General features: G+C 36.5%; 1 protein-coding gene and 1 non-coding gene across 52 annotated transcripts in view; one reads left to right on the top strand and one right to left on the bottom strand.

Annotated features, from left to right (window-relative positions):
* The window catches only part of STK33 (serine/threonine kinase 33), a 259,405-nt gene that overhangs the window by 33,832 nt on the left and 204,790 nt on the right, over positions 1-20,783 (top strand). The window lies entirely within an intron of this gene.
* On the bottom strand, positions 5,251-5,381 carry LOC124900315 (small Cajal body-specific RNA 20). The gene has a single exon (XR_007063009.1).

Below are 20,783 nucleotides of genomic sequence, written 5' to 3'. Positions count from 1 at the left end.
TGAACAGATATTTTACAGAAAAAAAATTTGAAAAAATACTTAGCCTCATTTATAATTAAGGAGGTAGAAATTAAAATAAGATGCTATTTTTCATTTATCAAATTGAGAAAGATGAAAAAGTTCAAAAATATCTAATGACAGAATGTGGTAAAATGCACTCTCATATCCTTTCTTGAGGGCAGTCTGACATTTATCAAAATAATAAATGCTCACACATTTATCTCTGCAGTGCTACTGCTAAGAGTGTATTCTACAAATATATTCATCTTAGTATACAAAGATATATGTAAAAGGTTATTGCATATAGCATCATTTGTAATAGAAACCATTTGGAAGCAATTTACTTGACTATTGATATGGACTTGTTAAATAATTTAGAATGCTTATATATATTGGAATATTATATAGCCATTAAAACAAAAGAGGTGTAAATATATATATGGATAATGAAAAAATGGTTAGGCTATAATATTTAGAAAAAGGGTAAGTTACTGAGAATAGGTATAGTATGAGCTTATTTACAACCATATGTGATTTATACTTAGGCTGTGTATATGCAAAGAAAATTTCTAGAATGTTACACAGAACCATTGGAAATGATTATCTGTGAGATGGAGAATGGAGATGCTCTGGACTCTTATTTTCATTTTATACCCTCTGGACTCTTTCAGTTTTTATTACAGCAATTATTTTCTGATTTTATAGTAATTAAAAGCAAACAAAAATATTTTAACCGGTAGTGACTATGTTGCTTTTGAAAATAGAATTTAATATTCTGGGAATAAAATTATGGGGTAGAATAGTAAAACAAATCAAGTAGGTTCAACTAATGTTTGTTCAACAAAGATTTAGGAAGCTCCTACTTTGCATGACGTACTAAACTGAGCTTAGCTTGTGGAACAGATAATACTTGATAAATGCTAAAAATAGCGGTTCAGACATTTCTCCTAGAGGTTATATTTTCTTAATTAAAACCAGATGAAATGAAGTCTGTTAGTGAACACTGTTTTTATTACATGATTGTCATGCCACCAACCTAGAAACTAGCATGAGGGGCAGGAAAAAATGCTAAGGTTTGTGAACTTGGCTATGCCATTTTGTTGGCTTTGTGCTTTGGTTGTCATAATATGGCTGCTGAAGGTGTTGGGGATATGTGAGAAGGTATATTAGTGATAATGCTCATGATGACAGGAGAAGATCCTGTATTCCTGAGCAAAAACTAGATTTGATCAAATGCTGTATTTACCAGTGCTATTTATGTTTTGTTGCTTTAGAGGCAGCAATTTTATGAAGGAGGTTGTAGTTTCATGGAGGCAAGTGGACCTCTACATTTTCTAGGGTTTGGCCATGTGAATTATACCAATCTATTTAGAAATTGTGGCTGTTTTCTATTAGAGAGTCTGTGATTCTTCAAAATCTTGTGATTTCATTGGGCTCAAGACATTTTGAGGAATGGGAAATGAGTGCAGTATCCAGTTGGCATTAGCTTTTTGAATTTGAATACCCGCACAGCCAGTTGTGCTATATTAACACTTGTTTTGAAAACGTGAATTTGCTGCAATGCCATTGATATATTAGGAAGCGATTTGAGCATAAGTGAATTTCATGTTTGTGTTATCCATGATTTTTGTCAGCAAGAAACACCAGGTGAACACAGAATACAGCACATAGTTGAACCGAGCCCAGCAGGAACACACAAAACGGACACATGTACATACCTGGAATATCTACCAGCTACCTCAGTTCACCACAAGTTATGAGCCACACCCACCCGCATCTGGTGTCACACCTTTCCTTCTGATTTCAGATAACCTTCTTTCTGGCACCCTTGATTAATTCAAAAACTACAGTCTTTCAAATGCCTATATCTATAAGTAAACTTCAGGTTTTTTTCAAGGTAAGGTGCCATATATTTATGTTTCCTAACCATTTAACATATACAAAAATGCTATGATTTTTTATTAGGTTTCGTGTGTGTGTGTGTGTGTGTGTGTGTGTATCACTGACAAAGATTTGGAGTTTTGTGTCCCTAGCTACATTTCCCCCGTAAGTCCTTGTTTGTGCCATTTTTGCATAGTGTAGTGATTTTTAGGAATGTAGGTATTTCCTTATAGTGAAACTGACTATATCTCTTTGAACAAATTTATGCTGGTCTTTTTTCCTTTTCATTTTAAGTTTATGTAGTGCATCTGATTTGCAATAGTTAAACAGCTCCCTGCAAACAAATGAATGATGGAAATCTTATTTTTCCTTTTTTTGCAGGTAATCCATTGTACCAAGTTAGCTCAACATTTCTGATTTTAAACCAACTTCTCTAGTTCCTTGTTGGCAGTTGGTTAGGGCTTCATGTGTCCTAGTGAATTGAGTGATTTTTCTAAGTTAAATTTTTGTGAAGGGCTGCATCTTGAGATAAGGTCCCAAATGCCTCATGTTGAACTCCTTTGGACTTCTCTAGACTTCTGTGACTTAAGGTTCATTACATTGCTAATCGTCCATGTTTATTATTATATGAAGAAAGCCTTGCACCAAGTTTGTGGCATGAAGTAAGTACATAGGTATAAACAGCATGTGATTGAAAACCAAGTATTTATTATTTGGAAGTGAATTACTTTTTTTTTTTCAAAGCTTAGTTATCTTTTTTGAGGGTTTTTTTCTACTCCAGTGATGATATAGGTTGAAGTAAAAATCTTTCATTGAATGCTGAAGTTCCTTTTTGAGGTTCTAACATGATATACATGAATAAAGGAGTTACAAGTCTATAATTGCCTTCTTTACATCTGACTTATAATGCTTTCTTGTGTCCAGGTTCCGTTCCTTATTCTAGTTCACTTAGTAGTTGCACTAGGAATTATTTCTGTAAAAATATGAGAGATAGGAATGTATATTTTGACTTGAGTATTTGCTTTAAGGTTTTCCTTGTGTAAGTACAGGTTTTTATTCTGATTTTGGCACGTAAGAATTCAGCTTTAAGTTGAAATTTAAGACTTCCTGACTTCCTTTTTCCCCTCCTTTTTTCCTTCCTTCCTTCCTTCCTTCCATCCTTCTTTCCTCCCTCCCTCCTTGCCTCCCTCTTTCTTTTCTCCTCCTCCTCCCTCTCCTCTTCTCTCCTCCCCTCCCCTCCCCTCCCCTCCCCTCCCCTTCCCTTCCCCACAAGGTCCCCCTCTGTTGCCTACGGTGGAGTGCAGTGGCACAATCAAGGCTCACTGCCGCCTTGACCTCCCAGGCTCCAGTGATCCTCCTACCTCAGCCTCCCAAGTAGCTGGGACCACAGGCATGCACCATGATGGCCAGCTAATTTGTTTATTTTTTATAGAGATGAGGTCTCACTATGTTGCCCAGGCTGGTCTTGAACCCCTGGGCTCAAGTGATCCTCCTGCTTTGGCCTCCCAAAGTGTTGGGATTACAGGCATGAGACACCATGCCTGGTTTAAGGTTTCTTTTAATTTTCTCTTTGAAAGAAAGTATCTTAGTCAATAGCAAGTGCATCTAGCAAAGAGGGGCATTACTATGGTGACCCTAAAATCTGTTCTTCTCTTCTTCATTCATTCATTCTTCATAGAACAAATATTTGTTAGGTGCCTAATATGTGTTACATCATTTTAGGCTCTGGAGAATATAATGATGAGCAAAAATACAGTCTTTCCCCTCACAGTCTAGTGGGGGAAATAGACTTTAATTAATTAGTGACCAAAATATATACTTATAAACTGTGATAAGTGCTATGAAGAAAGTGTACAAGTTCCTTTGAAAGAGAAAAACAAGGGGACCCAATTTGGATAAGTGATTTAAAAAAAGCCTTTCTGAAGAAGTGACATTTAAACTGAAGTCTACAGGATAAGGAGTTTACTGGAAGGGAAAGGGGGTGGAAGGATTTCCAGGCAGAGGCAAGAGGTTTTGTGATATCATTTTATAGTACTTATGACCTTTTTAGATGCTTATATAATTAGGTACTAGTCTATGAGCAAGACAGTTTATAGAGCTGTGTTACTGAAAAGATGCATATAAATTACATTTTTATAAATGAATTCCTGAATTCCTGCAGGCTTACATTATACTCACTGTGCTATATCATCTGCATTTGATTGATGTTCAGTTACTTCAATTACTGCTAGATTGATCTTTCTAAAGCACAACTTTGATGACGCTTTTTTCTGCTCAGAAATCTTTACCAGCTCCCCAATTACCCGATAAAATCCAGACTTCTTAGCCTTATGGTCAGGCCCTCCCCAACTGGCCCTAGTCTCAATATTCTACTTCAACTTTACTCCTATTTCTGAGGTACTCTCTTGGCCAACAGAACTTCTGGATGATCGTGGGTGCTTTCTTATGTGCCCACCTTCACTTACATTGCTTCTCTTGCCTTACAATCTGTTCACCTCCTTCTTAGACTGCCCAAATCCAGGCCCATTTCAGATGTTAACATTTGATCTTGGTGTCTTCTCTGATCACCCTAGCTGGAAGTTACTTCTTTTTCTTCTGACTTCTTATGGCATTTTTATTTTTACTGTTTTTTAGGTACTTTTCCCTTCTTGTTTTTAAAAAACTTATTATTTTTAATTGACATCATAATTGTATACATTTATGGAGTAGAATGTGATGTTTTGATACATGCACACAGCATGGAGTGATTAAATCAAGCTAATTAACATATTCATCACCTCACTTTTTTTTGTGGTAAGATAATTAAAATTTACTTTCTTTATTATTGTTATTTTTATTTTTATTTTATTTTAAGATGGAGTCTCGCTCTGTCACCCAGGCTGGAGTGCAATGGCTCAATCTCAGCTCCCCACAAGCTCTGCCTCCCAGATTCAAGTGATTCTCTCACCTCAGCCTCCCGAGTAACTGGGATTACAGGCGCTCACCACCACACCCAGCTACTTTTTGTGTTTTTAGTAGAGATGGGGGTTTTGCCATGTTGCCCAGGCTGGTCTTGAACTCCTGGGCTCAGGCAATCCACTCACCTCAGTCTCCTAGTGTGCTAGGATTACAGGTGGGAGCCACAGTGCCCAGCCAGTTTCTTAATTATTTTTAAACGTGCAATATGCTATTACTGACTATAGTCACCCTGCTGTGCAATAGATCTCAAAACATTCCTCTTGTCTACCCTTTGACCAGCAGCTTTCCATTCCTTCCCTCCTATTCCCCTCAGCCTCTGGTAATCATCATTCTACACTCTACTTCTATGAGTTTGACTCTTTTAGATTCTACATACAAGTAAGATGGTGTGGTATTTGTCTTTTTTTTTTCAAATGCCCAAGGGAGGTAAACAAGGCTGCCCAGCTCTCAGCAGTCATGATGATGATTCTCAAGGGCCATCTTGGCCTCCAACCCTGGCTGAAGAGAAAAAAGATCCCCTACAGCCCTATGAGAGAGAGGTCCTCTGTCTTTCTGTGCTTGGCTCATTTCAGTTAACATAATGTCCCCCAGGCTTATCCACATTGTTGCAAATGACAGGATTTCCTTCTAAAAAAGGCTGAATAGTATTCCATTGTGTATATATATCACATTTTTTATCCATTCATCTGTTGATGGGCACCAAGGTTGTTTCCACATCTTGGCTATTGTGAGTAGTGTTGCAGTGAACATGGCAGTGCAGATCTCCTTCTGACATATGGATTTTGGTTCCTTTGGGTATGTACGCAGCAGTGAGATTGCTGAATCATATAGTAGTGATGTTTTTAGTTTTTTTGAGGAATCTCCATACCGTTTTTTATAATAGCTGTACTAATTTACATCCCTACTAACAGTGTACAAGTATTCCCTTTCTCTGCATCCTCACTAACACTTATCTTTCATCTTTTTGATAACAGCCATTCTAACAGGTATGAGGTGATATCATCTCATAGTATTTTTAATTTGCATTTATCTGATAATTAGTGATATTGAACATTGTTTTCATGAACTAGCTGGCTGTTTGTATGTCTTTGTAGAAATGTCTGTTCAGGTCATTCACTCTTTTTTTTTTTTTTTTTTTTGAGATGGAGTCTCACTCTGTTGCCCAGGCTGGAGTGCAGTGGCGTGATCTGGGATCACTGTACCCTCAACCTCCCGGATTCAAGCGATTCTCCTGCCTCAGCCTCCCCAGTAGCTGGGACTACAGGTGCATGCCACCATGCTTGGCTAATTTTTTGTATTTTTAATAGAGACGGGGTTTCACTGTGTTAGCCAGGATGGTCTTGATCTCCTGACCTCGTAGTCCACCTGCCTCACCCTCCCAAAGTGCTGGGATTACAGGTGTGAGCCACCACACCTGGCCAATTCACTCATTTTTTGATCAGGTTATTTGTTTTCTTGCTATTGAGTTGTTTGAGTTCCTTACATATTTTGGATATTAATCCCTTTTCAGATATATGGTTTGTAAATATTTTCTCCTACTCTGTGAGTTGTCCCTTCACTTTGTTAATCTGTTTCCTTTGCTCTGCAGAAGCTTTTTAGGTGGATGCCATCCCACTTGTCTGTTTTTGTCTGTGTCTTTGGGGTCATATCCAAAAAATCATTGCCTAGTCTAATGTCATGGAGCTTAACCTCTGTGTTTTCTTCTAGTAGCTTTATAGTTTCGGGTCTTATATTTAAGTCTTTAATCCATTTGGAGTTGATTTTTATATATGGTATGAGATAAAGATGCAGTTTCATTCTTCTGCATGTGGATGTTCATTTTTTCCAGCACCATTTATTAAAGAGGGTGTCCATTTCCCATTGTGTGTTCTTGGCACCTTTGTAAAAAAAAACATCAGTTGACTATTAATGTGTGGGCTTCTGGGATTTCTGTCCTGTTCCATTGGTCAGTGTGTCTATTTTTATGCTAGTACCATGCTGTTTTGATTTTGATAGCCTTAAAATATACAGTCGTATAGCGTATAACAACATTTTGGTCAGTGATGGATCACGTATACAGTGGTGGTCCCATATGATTATAATGGAGCTAAAGAATTCCTGTTGCCTAGCAACATTGTAGGTGTTGTAACATTGTAAGGCAACACATCACTCAGGTGTTTTTGGTGATGCTATTGTAACCAAACTTACTGTACTTCCAGTTGTATAAAAGTGTGGGACATATACTTATGTAAAGTACATAATGCTAGATAATAATAAGCAATTATGTTACTGGTTTATATATTTACTTATATATATGATATATATATCATATATATCATATATATATACACACCATATATATATATATATATATATACACCATATATATATATATATATATATATATATATTTTATTTTTGGAGACGGAGTCTCCCTCTGTTACCCACGCTAGAGTACAGTGGCTTCAGCATAGCTTACTCTGCAGCCTTGAACTCCTGGATTCAAGTGATCCTCCTGCCTCAGCTTCCTGAGTATCTGGGACTACAGGTGTGTGCCACATGCCTGGCTAATTTAAGTTTTTTTTTTTTATGTGGAGACAAGGTCTCACTGTATGGCCCAGGCAGCTCCTGAACTCCTGGGCTCAAGCGATCCTTCTGCCTTGGCCTCCCAAAGTGTTGGGATTATAGACATGAGCCATCACCCAGCATATATTATACTCTTTGTTATTTTAGAGTCTCCTCTTTTCACTTATTAAAAAAAGTTAACTGTTAAGCAGCCTCAGGCAGGTCCTTCAGGAGGTATCCAGAAGAAGGCATTTTTATCATAGGAGATGACAGCTCCGTGCTTGTTATTGCCCCTGAAGACCTTCCAGAGGAACAAAATGTGGAGGAGGAAGACAGTGATATTGATGATCCTTATCCTGTGTAGACCTAGACTAATGTGTGTGTATGTGTCTTAGTTTTTAACAAGAAAGTTTAAAAAGTAAAAAAATAAATGAGTAAAAGAACTGAAAAATAGAAAAAAGCTTATAGAATAAGGATATAAAGAGATAAAATATTTTTGTAAAGCTGAACCTGTATTTGTGTTTTAAGCTATGTGTTATTAAAAAGAAGCAAAAAGTTAAAAAAATGTAAAAAGTTTATAAAGTAGAAAAGTTACAGAAAGCAAGGTGATGTCAGCCAAGCAGCAGAATAGAAGATCCTCTGGCATCACTCTCCCTACAAAAATACAACTAGAAATGTTTAAAAACAAGAATACCACCCTGAATATACCAGAACTTGGAGGAGAAGCTGAGAAACCCCATAGACTCACAGGATCGAGATAAGCCATGACTGGTAAGAGAAAAGGTCGTTTCAGTCTGTGCCACTTCCTTCCCCAAGCTGGCATAATGCCACTCACAGAGAATTTTTCTAGACCTATGGCTTATAGGGTGATAGGAGGGAATTGGAGGTGGACATTCATTTTTGCCACTGGTCTGGAATCTTTGTGAGAAGCCTACTCCAGATGCACTCCATAGGAACCATGGGGAACACCAGGAGGGTTGTACCATCTGGGGGTGAATTGGGGGCACACAGGGGCACTGAGCACAGTGACTGGTGTGCAGATCTTGGTGGCTCTTTAGCTCTCCAATCAGCAGGGACACCATGTTGAAGAGACAGGCCAGTGCCATAGTGCTGCAAGGGGTACAGTTCATGGAAAGGCTGGAATACCTAGCTGCATTTTCCACAAAGCCTAGGCATTTGAATCAAGCCTTCCCCTGACCTAGAAATAACTAAAAGGCTGGGATTAAGTTCTGGTGCCCATTTATGTTTTTCCTAGATTAGGAAGCAATAACGGGACAGCAATATAGTTCTGGGGTAAAGTTTTAGTTCTGATGCTCCCTACAAGTTCTGCGCAGAATGGGAAACGATGACAAGCCAGCGTTTAAGTTCCGATATGAAGAAGTAAAGGTCTAACACCACGAAAGAACACCTGTAAAAACTAGGAGAGGTAGCTCTCTCCTTAAATGTGCAGGCATCAACAAAAAGACACAAGGATTGTGAAAACTCAGGGAGATTTAATACCACCAAAAAATACTAACAAAGCTCTAGCAGTGGACCCAGAAGCATTGAAGATCTATGAAATGTCTGATAAAGAATTCAGAATAAGGCCAGGCATGGTGGCTCATGCCTGTAATCCTAGCACTTTGGGAGTCTGAGGTGGGCAGATTGCTTGAGGTCAGGAGTTTGAGACCAGCTTGGCCAACATGGTAAAACCCAGTCTCTACTAAAAGTACAAAAATTAGCCAGTTGTGGTGGTAGGCACCTATAGTTCCAGCTACTCAGGAGGCCGAGGCAGGAGAATCACTTGAACCCAGGAGGCAAAGGTTGCAGTGAGCCAAGATTGTGCCACTACACATCAGCCTGGGTAATAGAACAAGACTCTGTCTCCAAAAAAAAAAAATTATTCAGAATAACTGACTTAAATAATTTCAGGGAGTCGTTTTGCCTGCTGCCATCCATGTAAAATATGACTTGCCCTTCCTTGCCTTCTGTCATGATTGTGAGGCCTCCCTAGCCATGTGGAGCTGTGAGTCCATTAAATCTCTTTTTCTTCCAGTCTTGGGTATGTCTTTACCAGCAGTGTGAACACTTACACTGTAAATTGGTACCAGTAGATTGTGTTGCTGCCATAGATACCTGAAAATGTGGAAGTGACTTTGGAACCGGGTAATAGGCAGGGGTTGCAACAGTTTGGAGGGCTCAGAAGAAGACAGGAAATGTGGGAAAGTTTGGAATTTCCTAGAGAAATTTTGCCCAAAATTCTTTGCCCAAAATGCTGAAGGTGATATGGACAACAAAGCCCAGGCTGAGGTGGTCTCAGATGGAAATGAGGAACTTGTTGGGAACTGGAGCAAAGATGCCTCTTGTTATGTTTTAGAAAAGAGCCAGTGGCATTTTTCACCTGCCCTAGAGATTTGTGGAACTTTGAACTTGAGAGAGATGATTTAGGGTATCTGGTGGAAGAAATTTCTAAGCAGCAAAGCACTTAGGTGACTTGGGTGCTGTTAAAGATATTCAGTTTTATAAGGGAAGCAAAGCATGAAAGTTCAGAAAATTTGCAGCCGGACAGTGCAATAGAAAAGAAAATCCCGGTTGAGTGTGGTGGCTCATGCCTGTAATCCTAGCACTTTGGGAGGCTGAGGCGGGTGGATCACAAGGTCAGGAGTTTGAGACCAGCCTGGCCAATATATTAGTAGAAGGAAAGAAATAATAAAGATCAGAGCAGAAATGAATGAATTTGAGACTAAAAAAAATTACAAAAGATCACCCTGAAACTATTGCTATTAATTACATATTCCGGGACCTTATTGTGTATTATGTAGAGTTTCAAACAGAAGTATTTTTGTAAGAAGAATTATTACTATCATAAAATAATATTTCTTCAAAACTGTTACAATAATTGTTTGTTCCTTCATTAATTACATAGTTATATAAAACTTTTGCAGAAGATGCTGATATATCACTGAGAGCCATGATTTGTTCAGAGTGAGATTTGTAATTATGGAAATACAAAGTACAAAGTTAATATTTGACATCTATTTGAAAGCATGTTACAGAAACACTGACTTTTGTTTTAAGTAAAGATAAGCTGACTTAAAAAATCAATGAATTTAAAAGTTGGTTTTTTTTAAATATGAAAATCAACAAACCTTTGGCTAGACTAAGAAAAAAGAGAGAAGACCCAAATAAATAAAATCAGAGATGAAAACGTTACAACTGATAACCACAGAAATACAAAGGATCATTATAGAATCTCATGAACAACTATATGCCAACAAATTGAAAAACTTAGACGAAATGAATAAATTCCTATATACATAACCTATCAGAATTGAACCATGAAGAAATAGGAAACCTGAACAGACTAATAGTGAGTTATGAGATTGAAGCAGCAATCAGAAGTTCCCCAACAAAGCTCAGGACCCAATGTCTTCACTACTGAATTCTAACAAATGTGTAAAGGAAAGCTAATACCATTTGTATTCAAACTATTTCAGAAAATTGAGGAGGGAATACTCCAAACTCGTTCTACAAGGCTAGCATCACTCTCACACCAAAACCAGGCAAAGCCATAACAAAAAAGAAAAAAAAAACAAAAACAGAAAACTACAGGCCAATATCCCCAATGAACATAGATGCAGAAATCTTCAACGAAACACTAGCAAACCAAATTCAACAACACACTGAAAAGATCATTTAGCACAATCAAGTGTGATTTACACCAGGGATGCAAGGATGGTTCATCATATGTAAATTAATAAATATGACACATCTGATTAACAGAATCAAGAATAAAAATTATATGGTCATTTCAATAGATACTGAAAAAGTATTCAATACAATTTAACATCCCTTCATGATAAAAACTCTGAACAAACTGAGTATAGAAGGAGAATACCTGAAATCAATAAAGACCATATATGACCAAACCACAGCTAATAATTTGTTTATCAGTTCTAACAGTTTTTTGGTGGAGTCTTTAGGTTTTCCTAAATATAAGATCATGTCATCTGTGAAAAAGGATAAATTGGCTTTCTCCTTTCCAATTTGGATATCCTTTATACAAAACCAGCATGCAAAAATCAGTAGTATTTTTATACACCAACAGTGAACAATCTGAGAAATTAAGAAAGTAATCCCATTTACAATAGCTACAAGAATATAAAACACCTAGGGATAAATTTAACCAAAAAATAAAACACCTAGGAAAAAATTTAACCATTTTTTATAATGCAAATGATAAAATATGAAGAAAGAAATCAAAGAGGACACAAACAAATGGAAAGATGTCCCATGATCATGTATTGGGAGAATTAATATTGTTGAAGTGTTCATACTGCCCAAAGTGATCTACAGATTCAATGCAATCCCTCTCAAAATACCAATGACATTCTTTACAGAATAGAAGAAAAATTCTAAAATTTGTATGGACCCACAAAAGACTCTGAATAGTCAAAAGAATTGTGAGCAAAAATAACACAGTTGAGGGCATCACACTTTTTGACTTCAAAATATATTACAAAGTCATAATAACCAGAACAGCATGGTACTGGCATAAAAATGGACACATAGACCAATGGAACAGAATAGAGAACTCAGAAATAAATCCATACATTTACAGCCAATTTATTTTCAACAAAGCCTCCAGAAACATACACTGTGGAAAGGACAGCCTCTTTAATACACGATACTGGGGAAACTGTATATCCATATGCAGAAGAATGAAACTAGATCCCTATCTCTCACCATATACAAAAACAAAATAAATGCATTAAAGATTTAAATGTAAGACTTGAAACTATGAAACTGCTAGAGGAAAACATTGGGGAAATACTTGAGGACATTGGTCTGGGCAAAGATTTTTTTTTTTTTTATTATACTTTAAGTTCTAGGGTACATGTGCACAACGTGCAGGTTTGTTACATATGTATACACGTGCCATGTTGGTGTGCTGCATCCATTAACTCGTCATTTACATTAGGTATATCTCCTAATGCTATCCCTCCCCCCTCCCTCCACCCCACAACAGGCCCCGGTGTGTGATGTTCCCCATCCAGTGTCCAAGTGTTCTCATTGTTCAGTTCCCACCTATGAGTGAGAACATGCGGTGTTTGGTTTTCTGTCCTTGTGATAGTTTGCTCAGAATGATGGTTTCCAGCTTCATCTATGTCCCTACAAAGGACATGAACTCATCCTTTTTTATGGCTGCATAGTATTCCATAGTGTATATGTGGGTCTGGGCAAAGATTTTTTTGGATAAGACCCCAAAAGCACAGGCAACAAAAGCGAAAATAGACAAATGGGATTACATTAAGTTAAAAAGCTTTTGCACAGCAAAGGAAACAACAGAGTGAAGCAACAACCTACAGAATGGAAGAAAATATTTACAAACTCTCCATCCACAAGGAATTCATAACCAGAATAGATAAGGAACTCAAACAATTCAATAGCAAAATAATGAACAATCTGATTTTAAAAATGAGCAAATGACCTGAATAACTTCTCAGAAGAAGACATACAGGGCTAGGTGCAGTGGCTCACGCCTGTAATCCCATCACTTTGGGAGGCTGAGACGGGCAGATCACCTGAGGTCAGGAGTTCGAGACCAGCCTGGTCAACATGGTGAAACCTCATCTCTAGGAAAAATACAAAATTAGCCAGGCGTGGTGGCGCATGCCTGTAATCCCAGCTACTAGGGAGGCTGAGGCAGGAGAATCACTTGAACCCGGGAGGCGGAGGTTTCAGTGAGCCGAGATTGCACCATTGCACTCCAGCCTGGGCAACAAGAATGAAACTCCGTCTCAACAGAAACAAACAAAAAACAAAAAAGAAGACATACAAATGGCCAACTCTATATGAAAAAATTCTTATCGCTAATCATAAGGGAAATGCAAATCAAAACAACAATGTGATATTTTGCCCCAGTTAAAATGGCTATTCTCCAAAAGGAAAAGTAACAGATGCTAGTGAGGATGTGGAGAAAGGGAGAAGCCAGTGCACTGTTGGTAGGAATTTAAATTAGTACATCCATCATGGAAACAGTATGGAGGTTCCTCAGAAAACTAAAAATAGTCTACCGTATGATCCAGCAATCCCACTGCTGGATATATATCCAAAAGAAAAGAGATACCTGCATTCCCATGTTTATTGCAGCACTATTTACAGTAGCCAAGATATGGAATCAACCTAAGTGCCCATCAGTGGATGAATGGATAAAGAAAATGTGGTAAATATACACAGCGGAATATTATTCAGCCATAAATGACAATGAAATCCTGTCATTTGCAGCAACTTGGGTGGAACTGGAGGTCATTATCTTAAATAAGCCAGGCACAGAAAGACAAATATTGCATGATTTCACTCATGTGGGGGATGAACAAGTTAATGCCATGGAAGTAGAGAGTAGACTGATGGTTCCAAGGAGCTGAGCAGGGTAGGGTGGGGGGGATGAAGAGAGGTTGGTTAGTGAGTACAAAAATATAGTTAGAAAGAAGGAATAAGTTCTAGTGTTTGATAGCACAGTAGGGTGACTGTAGTTAACAGTAATTTATTTTATATTTCAAAATAGCTAGAAGACAAAATTTGGAATGTTTCCAGCATAAAGAAATGATAAATGTTTGAGGTAATGGATAGCCTAATTACCCTGATTTGATCATTACACATTGTGTGAATGTATGAAAATCTCACAGGTACCCCATAAATATGTGCAATTATCATATATCAATAAAAAGTTACAGTAAGCTAGTTTATTATTGAAGAAAGAAAAAGTTTTAAAAATAAATTTAGTGTAGCCTAAGTGTACAAGTATTTGCACAGTGTACAGTAGTATGCAATAATGACCTGTGCCTTCACATTCACTCACTACTGACTCACTGTTGTACCCAGAGTATCTTCCTGTCCTGCAAGCTGCATTCGTGGTAAGCGCCCTATACAGGTGTATCATTTAAAAAATATTTTATCTGTGTTTTTACTATACCTTTTCTATGTTTAGATACACAAATACCATCGTGTTACAATTGCCTACAGTATTTAATACAGTAAAATGCTATACAGGTTTGTAGCCTAGGAACAAGAGGCTATACCACATAGCCTGTGTGTGTAGTAGGTTGGCCCATCTAGGTTTGTGTAAGCGCACTCTATGATGTTTGCACAATGATAAATTACCCAATGACACAGTTCTCAAATGTATTCCCATTGTTAAGCAACACATGACTGTATTTTGAAATTAGGAGGTGTGATACCTCTAGCTTTGTTCTTTTTGCTCAGGATTGTATTGGTCATTCATCTCTCTTCTTGTTTTGAAGTTATTTCTAGGCATACCTTACCTTCCTAACTAGACCTTTATGTTTCTTGAGACCAAAGCCTGTGAAGGATGAGTCTGCTTCTTTCACTGTGCCTAATACAGTCCCTTGCACATGGTAGGCTCTTAATATAAATTTCTTAAACTAATTTGTAAGTTAATTGTTGGTGGCTAGATTGCCCTTAAAGAGTACTTAGTAATCTTTAAACAAACGCATTCAGGGGACTGTTATGCATATAAATACTTTGTAACATTAGTAATCTTAAATTTGTATTTTCCTTCAAGGGGATACTACTTGATTGGGATATTTATATTTCGTTTTGCCCAATTTAGTGACACTGATTCACAGAGATTATTTTAGATTCATAAATGGTGCTGTCATTTCTATTTTTGCCTCTCTTTTAAAGGTTTGCATGCTTATTTAGCTGTAAAAAAGGATGAAAAGAACAAATCAACACCCTCACTGGTTGTTGATTCCCAGTAGAAAGAAATAGATTTGAAAGCATGTCTAGGTAATGGATTTATTTTGATTGTTTTGAGTTTTCCAAGTGCATGTGGCTTCAGATGAGGTTGGAATAATCCCACAAAGAATTTCCTTATTCATTGGTTCATTTGGACTTACACTTCTGGTAGGCAGCTTCCTATTTGTAAGATTTTATTAAAAATCATTTCCCTTTCAGAAGTTGTGCCCTTCACTTCTCTCTGAATAAACATTTGAAAAGCTTTTGGATTGCTCTTCAATCTATGACTGTAAGCAGGACCGTGTCATGGTTTTAGCTGATGCAGTTTTTAGAATATTTCTTATTGGAATAACATTATCTCAGGGCAATATTTAAATATAAGAGGGAGTGATTTATTTCTCATAGAAACATTTGTCTCTAAGGACAACTAAAAGTACAGTAGCAGAATAATGTGTAAACATTTATAATTGACTTAGTGTTTGTAATTTATCCAACATTATGATTTTGGCTAGAAGCATTTTAAAAATAAGTCTCTTTTAGTTATATTGTTTTCCCCCATGCATAAATGGTAGGTTCTTTAAAGGGAAATAGTTTGGGAATTTCATATCTTTATGATTAACTATTGTTCTTAAATTTTAACCCTGGAATAATATATGGTTCTATAGAAAACAATGAGTATATGTCAATTATCCGAGGCTCTATTTCTTTGAATATATAGTTCACTTTCCTTACAAAATTATTATGTAGATAGTAAAACAGTTGAAAAATTTAAAAAGCTATAAAGAAAAAATAAAATTTACTCATAATTTTCTTTAGAGAAACAATCATTATTCTTCTAAGTATTTGTTAATAAAATCAATCTGTAGCTACATGACAGTTAAGGATAAATATGGAATATATATACATGTATTACATATATATAATTATATATATAATTTTATAAATATATATATACATATTTTATATATATATATAAAATTTCCACTTGGGATAGTTTTCATATTAGATTAAATTGGGAATGCCAGAGTCTTATAAGTGGGAGTTGAACAATGAGAACACATGGACACAGGAAGGGGAACATCACACACCCGTGCCTGTCGGGGGATGGGGGGCTATGGGAGGGATAGCATTAGGAGAAATACCTAATGTAGTTGACGGGTTGATGGGTGCAGCAAACCACCATGGCACATGTATACCTATGTAACAAACCTGCACATTCTGCACATATATCCCAGAACTTAAAGTATAATAAAAAAATGGAAAAAAATCATTTAGTATTATTTTGAACTGGCAATTGTGAATTACTATTTAAAAAATCACATGGGCATTTTAACCTTTTCTAGTTGCATTTCTCACACAATGAGTGTTTTCTTTTATATTTTTAATTTTTGTGAGTACATAGTAGGTATACATTTATGGGGTCCATGAGATATTTTGATACATGCATGCAATGTGTAATATGTCATGGAGAATGGGGTATCCATCCCCTTAAGTATTTATCCTTTGTATTACAGATAATCTAATTATACTTTTAGTTATTTTAAAATGTACAATTAAGTTATTATTGACTATAGTCACCCTGTTGTGCTATCAAATAGTAGGTCTTATTCATTCTTCCATTTTTTTAATGTACCCATTAACCAGTCCCATCTTCCCCCTACCACCAACAACCCTTCCCACCCTCTGGTAGCCATCCTTCTACTTTCTACATCTATGAGTTCAGTTGTTTTGATTTTTAGATACCACAGATAAATGAGAACCTGTGATGTTTGTCTTTCTGTGCCTGGTTTATTTCACTTAACATCATAATCTCCAGTTCCATCCATGTTGTTACAAATTACAGAACCACAATGAGTATTTTCTAAAGAGTATTTAAATTTTACTTATTTGGTTTTGACTTGTAAATTTGAAATACGTTGGTTTATCAACAAATGTGGCCAAATAAAATAATAATGTTTTAATTCCCATAGTTAAAAATATATTTTTGAGCTCTTAATCACTGAAGACATTTGAAATGTTTTCACCTGCTGATTTAAGTGACAATTAAATGGTGAATATGCGTCCCTCTTTTAGATTCCTTGGAAAACCATATCATAGGGCAAGATCCTTAATGGACATGTGATTTTTCATCTCTTTGGTCATATTTGTCACCCTAGGGGAATCTAATGAATGAGTAGATACATATTTGGAGAACAAAACAGAGTCTGCATTGGGCGGCATCAAACTGATGGAGATAATAAGAAGCTATAAAAAGTGAAAACCAGGCCGGGTGCAGTGGCTCATGTCTGTAGTCCCAGCACTTTGGGAGGCTGAGGCGTGTGGATTGCTTGAGCCCAGGAGTTCAAGACCAGCCTGGGCAACATGGCGAAACCCCGTTTCTACAAAAAAATACAATAATTAGCTGGGTGTGGTGGTGTGTACCTGTAGTCTCAGCTACTCAGGAGACTAAGTGGGGAGGATCTCTTGAGCCTGGGGAGGCAGAGGTTGCAGCCGAGATCGTGCCACTGCACTCCAGCCTGGGTGACAGAGTGTCTTAAAAAAAAAGTGCAAACTAAATCTTTTCATTTATTAAAATTCATTAATTCATTCAGCAAGTATTTTTGCATCATCCAAGCATATTTGATCACGTGCTTGGCATTCTTTTAGGTCAGTATTTCTCAGCGTTGGCCCTATTGACATTTTGGAGTGGGTAATTCTTTCTTGTGGTGCAGCCATATGCATTTTGGATGTTTTGCAGCATCCTTGGTTTCTTACCCTCTAGATACCAGTAGCACTCCCCTAGTTGTGACAACGAAAGATGTTCCCAGACATTGCCAGCCATCCCCCGGGAGGCAAAATCACTTCCGTTGAGAACCACTGTTTTAGATGACAAACATTTTAAAAGCAATTTTTTTGAAATGTATTTTGTGTTGTTTCCCTATTTCAGATTTGTACATGTTCCATGTGATTTTTGTCTGTCAGTATTTCCTGGTCAGTGCCCTATCTGAAAATTGACTTAGGTTTCGTAATGACATGTGGAACTAGCCACATTTATCGTAGAAATATTGAAATAAAACCCTTATATTTTAAAACTAATAGTTGATTTAATCGTGATTCTGTAACATTTATGACATCCTGAATCAAAGAACCTACTATTTCTTGATCTTTTGAAAAGTACTTTGTACCTATGAGCAAATTCTTACAAAGAAACCTTCTAACGCTTATTTTTCCTCCTTTAAAAATGATCCTATTCATCTTTTGTTTTAAAGGCTCTGTAGCTTATTGGTACTGCATAAAAATTCCATTATTATAGAGACTGTTCTCTTTGCTTCTCTGCTGCATCTTCTTCTGAAGTTATGAGAGATGTGAAACATAGTCTGAAAATTCATTCAAAGCTTTAAAACTTATTATATCCAGGAGAGACAGATTTAAGATTGCTGAGGTTTCTGGTTGAAGTACTTCAAGCAGAAATCCATACTCCATTAGACTCTCTAACACTGTGACCTTAATTTTTCAGATATTTTGCTCTTTAAATTGAAAGTAGTATTTTAATACAATTTAAGTCTTTTGAAGGGGCTTGTAGTACCACAGACAGAAGTTGTGAAACATTTGAACAAATGGAAAGTAAAATAGCAACGAATTTAGGACTATATCAAAGTTTTAAATTTCAAAATATATAGTGATATAAAGATATGTATGGAACATACTTTATGCACTGGAGTTGGGGGAAAAGCTATTTAGTAAGGAGTTGTTCATACTGTACTTAAACAGAATTTCTTTCATTGGATATTTTTCTTGGCATTGCCTAAAGAGTTTCTGATTAGGAGTGGTTGTTAAGTTCTCTGAAGTTAGAAAATTTACTTTGTATAAAACCGTGGTCTGGGTGAAATGAAAGTCTACCTGGACAATAGCTACTGAGTTATCTTGCTTCAACAGATAAAGCAGGAAATGTAAAACTGTAAAACTGTATTATAGTACTGAATCACGAAACTGAGAACTATTTTTTAAAAAACCTCTTTGGAAAAGGAGAGATGAAAAGCCTCTTGTTCTTTTATTAGTAAATTAGGTCAGTTTTTAAATAATATGTTCATTGAAATATACACATTTCTCAAGTAATGATATAATTTAATTCAATTTATATTTTAAAGGCATAACATCTGAACTGAATTCTTTAGAGGTCCTTAATTGCTTCATCTATTTTCCATTGTAAAATGTTGTTTCAAACCTAAATTTAAAAAAATGTGTTATGTATATTTGAGGTTTACAGCATAATGTTATGAGATATATATATATATATATAGAGAGAGAGAGAGAGAGAGAGAGAGAGATAGTAAGATGGGTAGTATAGTGAAGCCGATTCACATATCTCATCTCACATAATTACTTTTTCATGACAAGAGCAACCAAAATTTAGTTATTTAACTAAAATGTCTAATATAATACAATTTGATTAACTTTAGTCCTCATGTTGTGTATTATCTCTAACTTGTTCACCCTACATATCTGGTATTTTGTATCCTTTGATCTGCATCTCTTTGTTTCCTCTCCCGCCCCCTGCCCATCCATGGTAGCTACTGTTTTGTGCTCTGTGTATTTGAACTCTTTTCTTTTTAAATATTCCATGTATAAGTGAGAGCCTGTGATGTTTTTCTTTCTGTGTCTGTCTTTTTTCACTTAGCATAATATCTGCTAGGTTTGTTTTGTAGCAAATGGCAGGATCTACTTCCTTTTTAAGGTTGAATAATATTCCTGTGTGTATATGCGTGTGTGTATACACACCACTGTTTCTTTTTAAAATTTTATTTGTCTTTTTTTTAAAGACTGGGTCTTGCTCTGTCACCCAGGCTAGAGTGCAGTGGTATGATCATAGCTCATTCAAACTCCTGGACTTAGGGGATCCTCCCACCTCAGCCTCCCAAGAAACTAGAACTACAAGTACACCCCGCCATACCTGGATAATTACATTTTTTTTTTTTTTGTAGAGATGGGTTATCACTATGTTGTTTGCCTGGTCTCAAACTTCTAGCCTCAAACGATCCTCCCACCTTGGCTTCTCAAACCACTGAGATTCCAGGCATGAGCTACCACACCTGGCCAACAGTTTCTTTATCCAGTCATTCACTGACAGACATTTAGGTTTTTTCATATCTTGGCTATTGTGAATAATGCGGTAATCAACATGGGAGTGCATATATATTTATGAGGTGAGCAAAAGGTCTTCTCTTTTGGGTATACACCCAGAAGAGGGATTGCTGGGTTGTATGATAGTTCTATTTTTAATTTTTTCGGGAACCTCCATACTGTTTTCCATAATGGCTGTACCAGTCTATATTCCCACCAACAGTGCGCTAAGGATTTCAGGCCTAAATTGATCATATAATCTTTCTTTCAGTTTGCGGCTCACTGAAGGGTGATACATCAAATATTATTTATTTATCTATAGAAGCTTAGCATTTACATTAGCTCCTATTTACGTACTACAGTTATGAGTTAGCTATTAAGGGTGTAATGTAACCTCACTGAGTTCCTTTATGTATATTCATGATAGTTAAATGCCAAATAAATCATATGTCTATCTTAATGCCAAGTAATTATTGCATCAGTTGCTAAGGGGCATTCTTTATGATGAAGAAGCAATTTCAGGTAGATTCTTCGAATCTTTTGCTATCCTGCTGCAATCC

The sequence above is a fragment of the Homo sapiens genome, chromosome 11 (assembly GCF_000001405.40).
Source record: "Homo sapiens chromosome 11, GRCh38.p14 Primary Assembly".
Taxonomy (NCBI): Eukaryota; Metazoa; Chordata; class Mammalia; order Primates; family Hominidae; genus Homo; species Homo sapiens.
The sequence above is the reverse complement of the archived record's forward strand: the minus strand, read 5'-3'. Positions and strand labels throughout refer to the sequence as shown.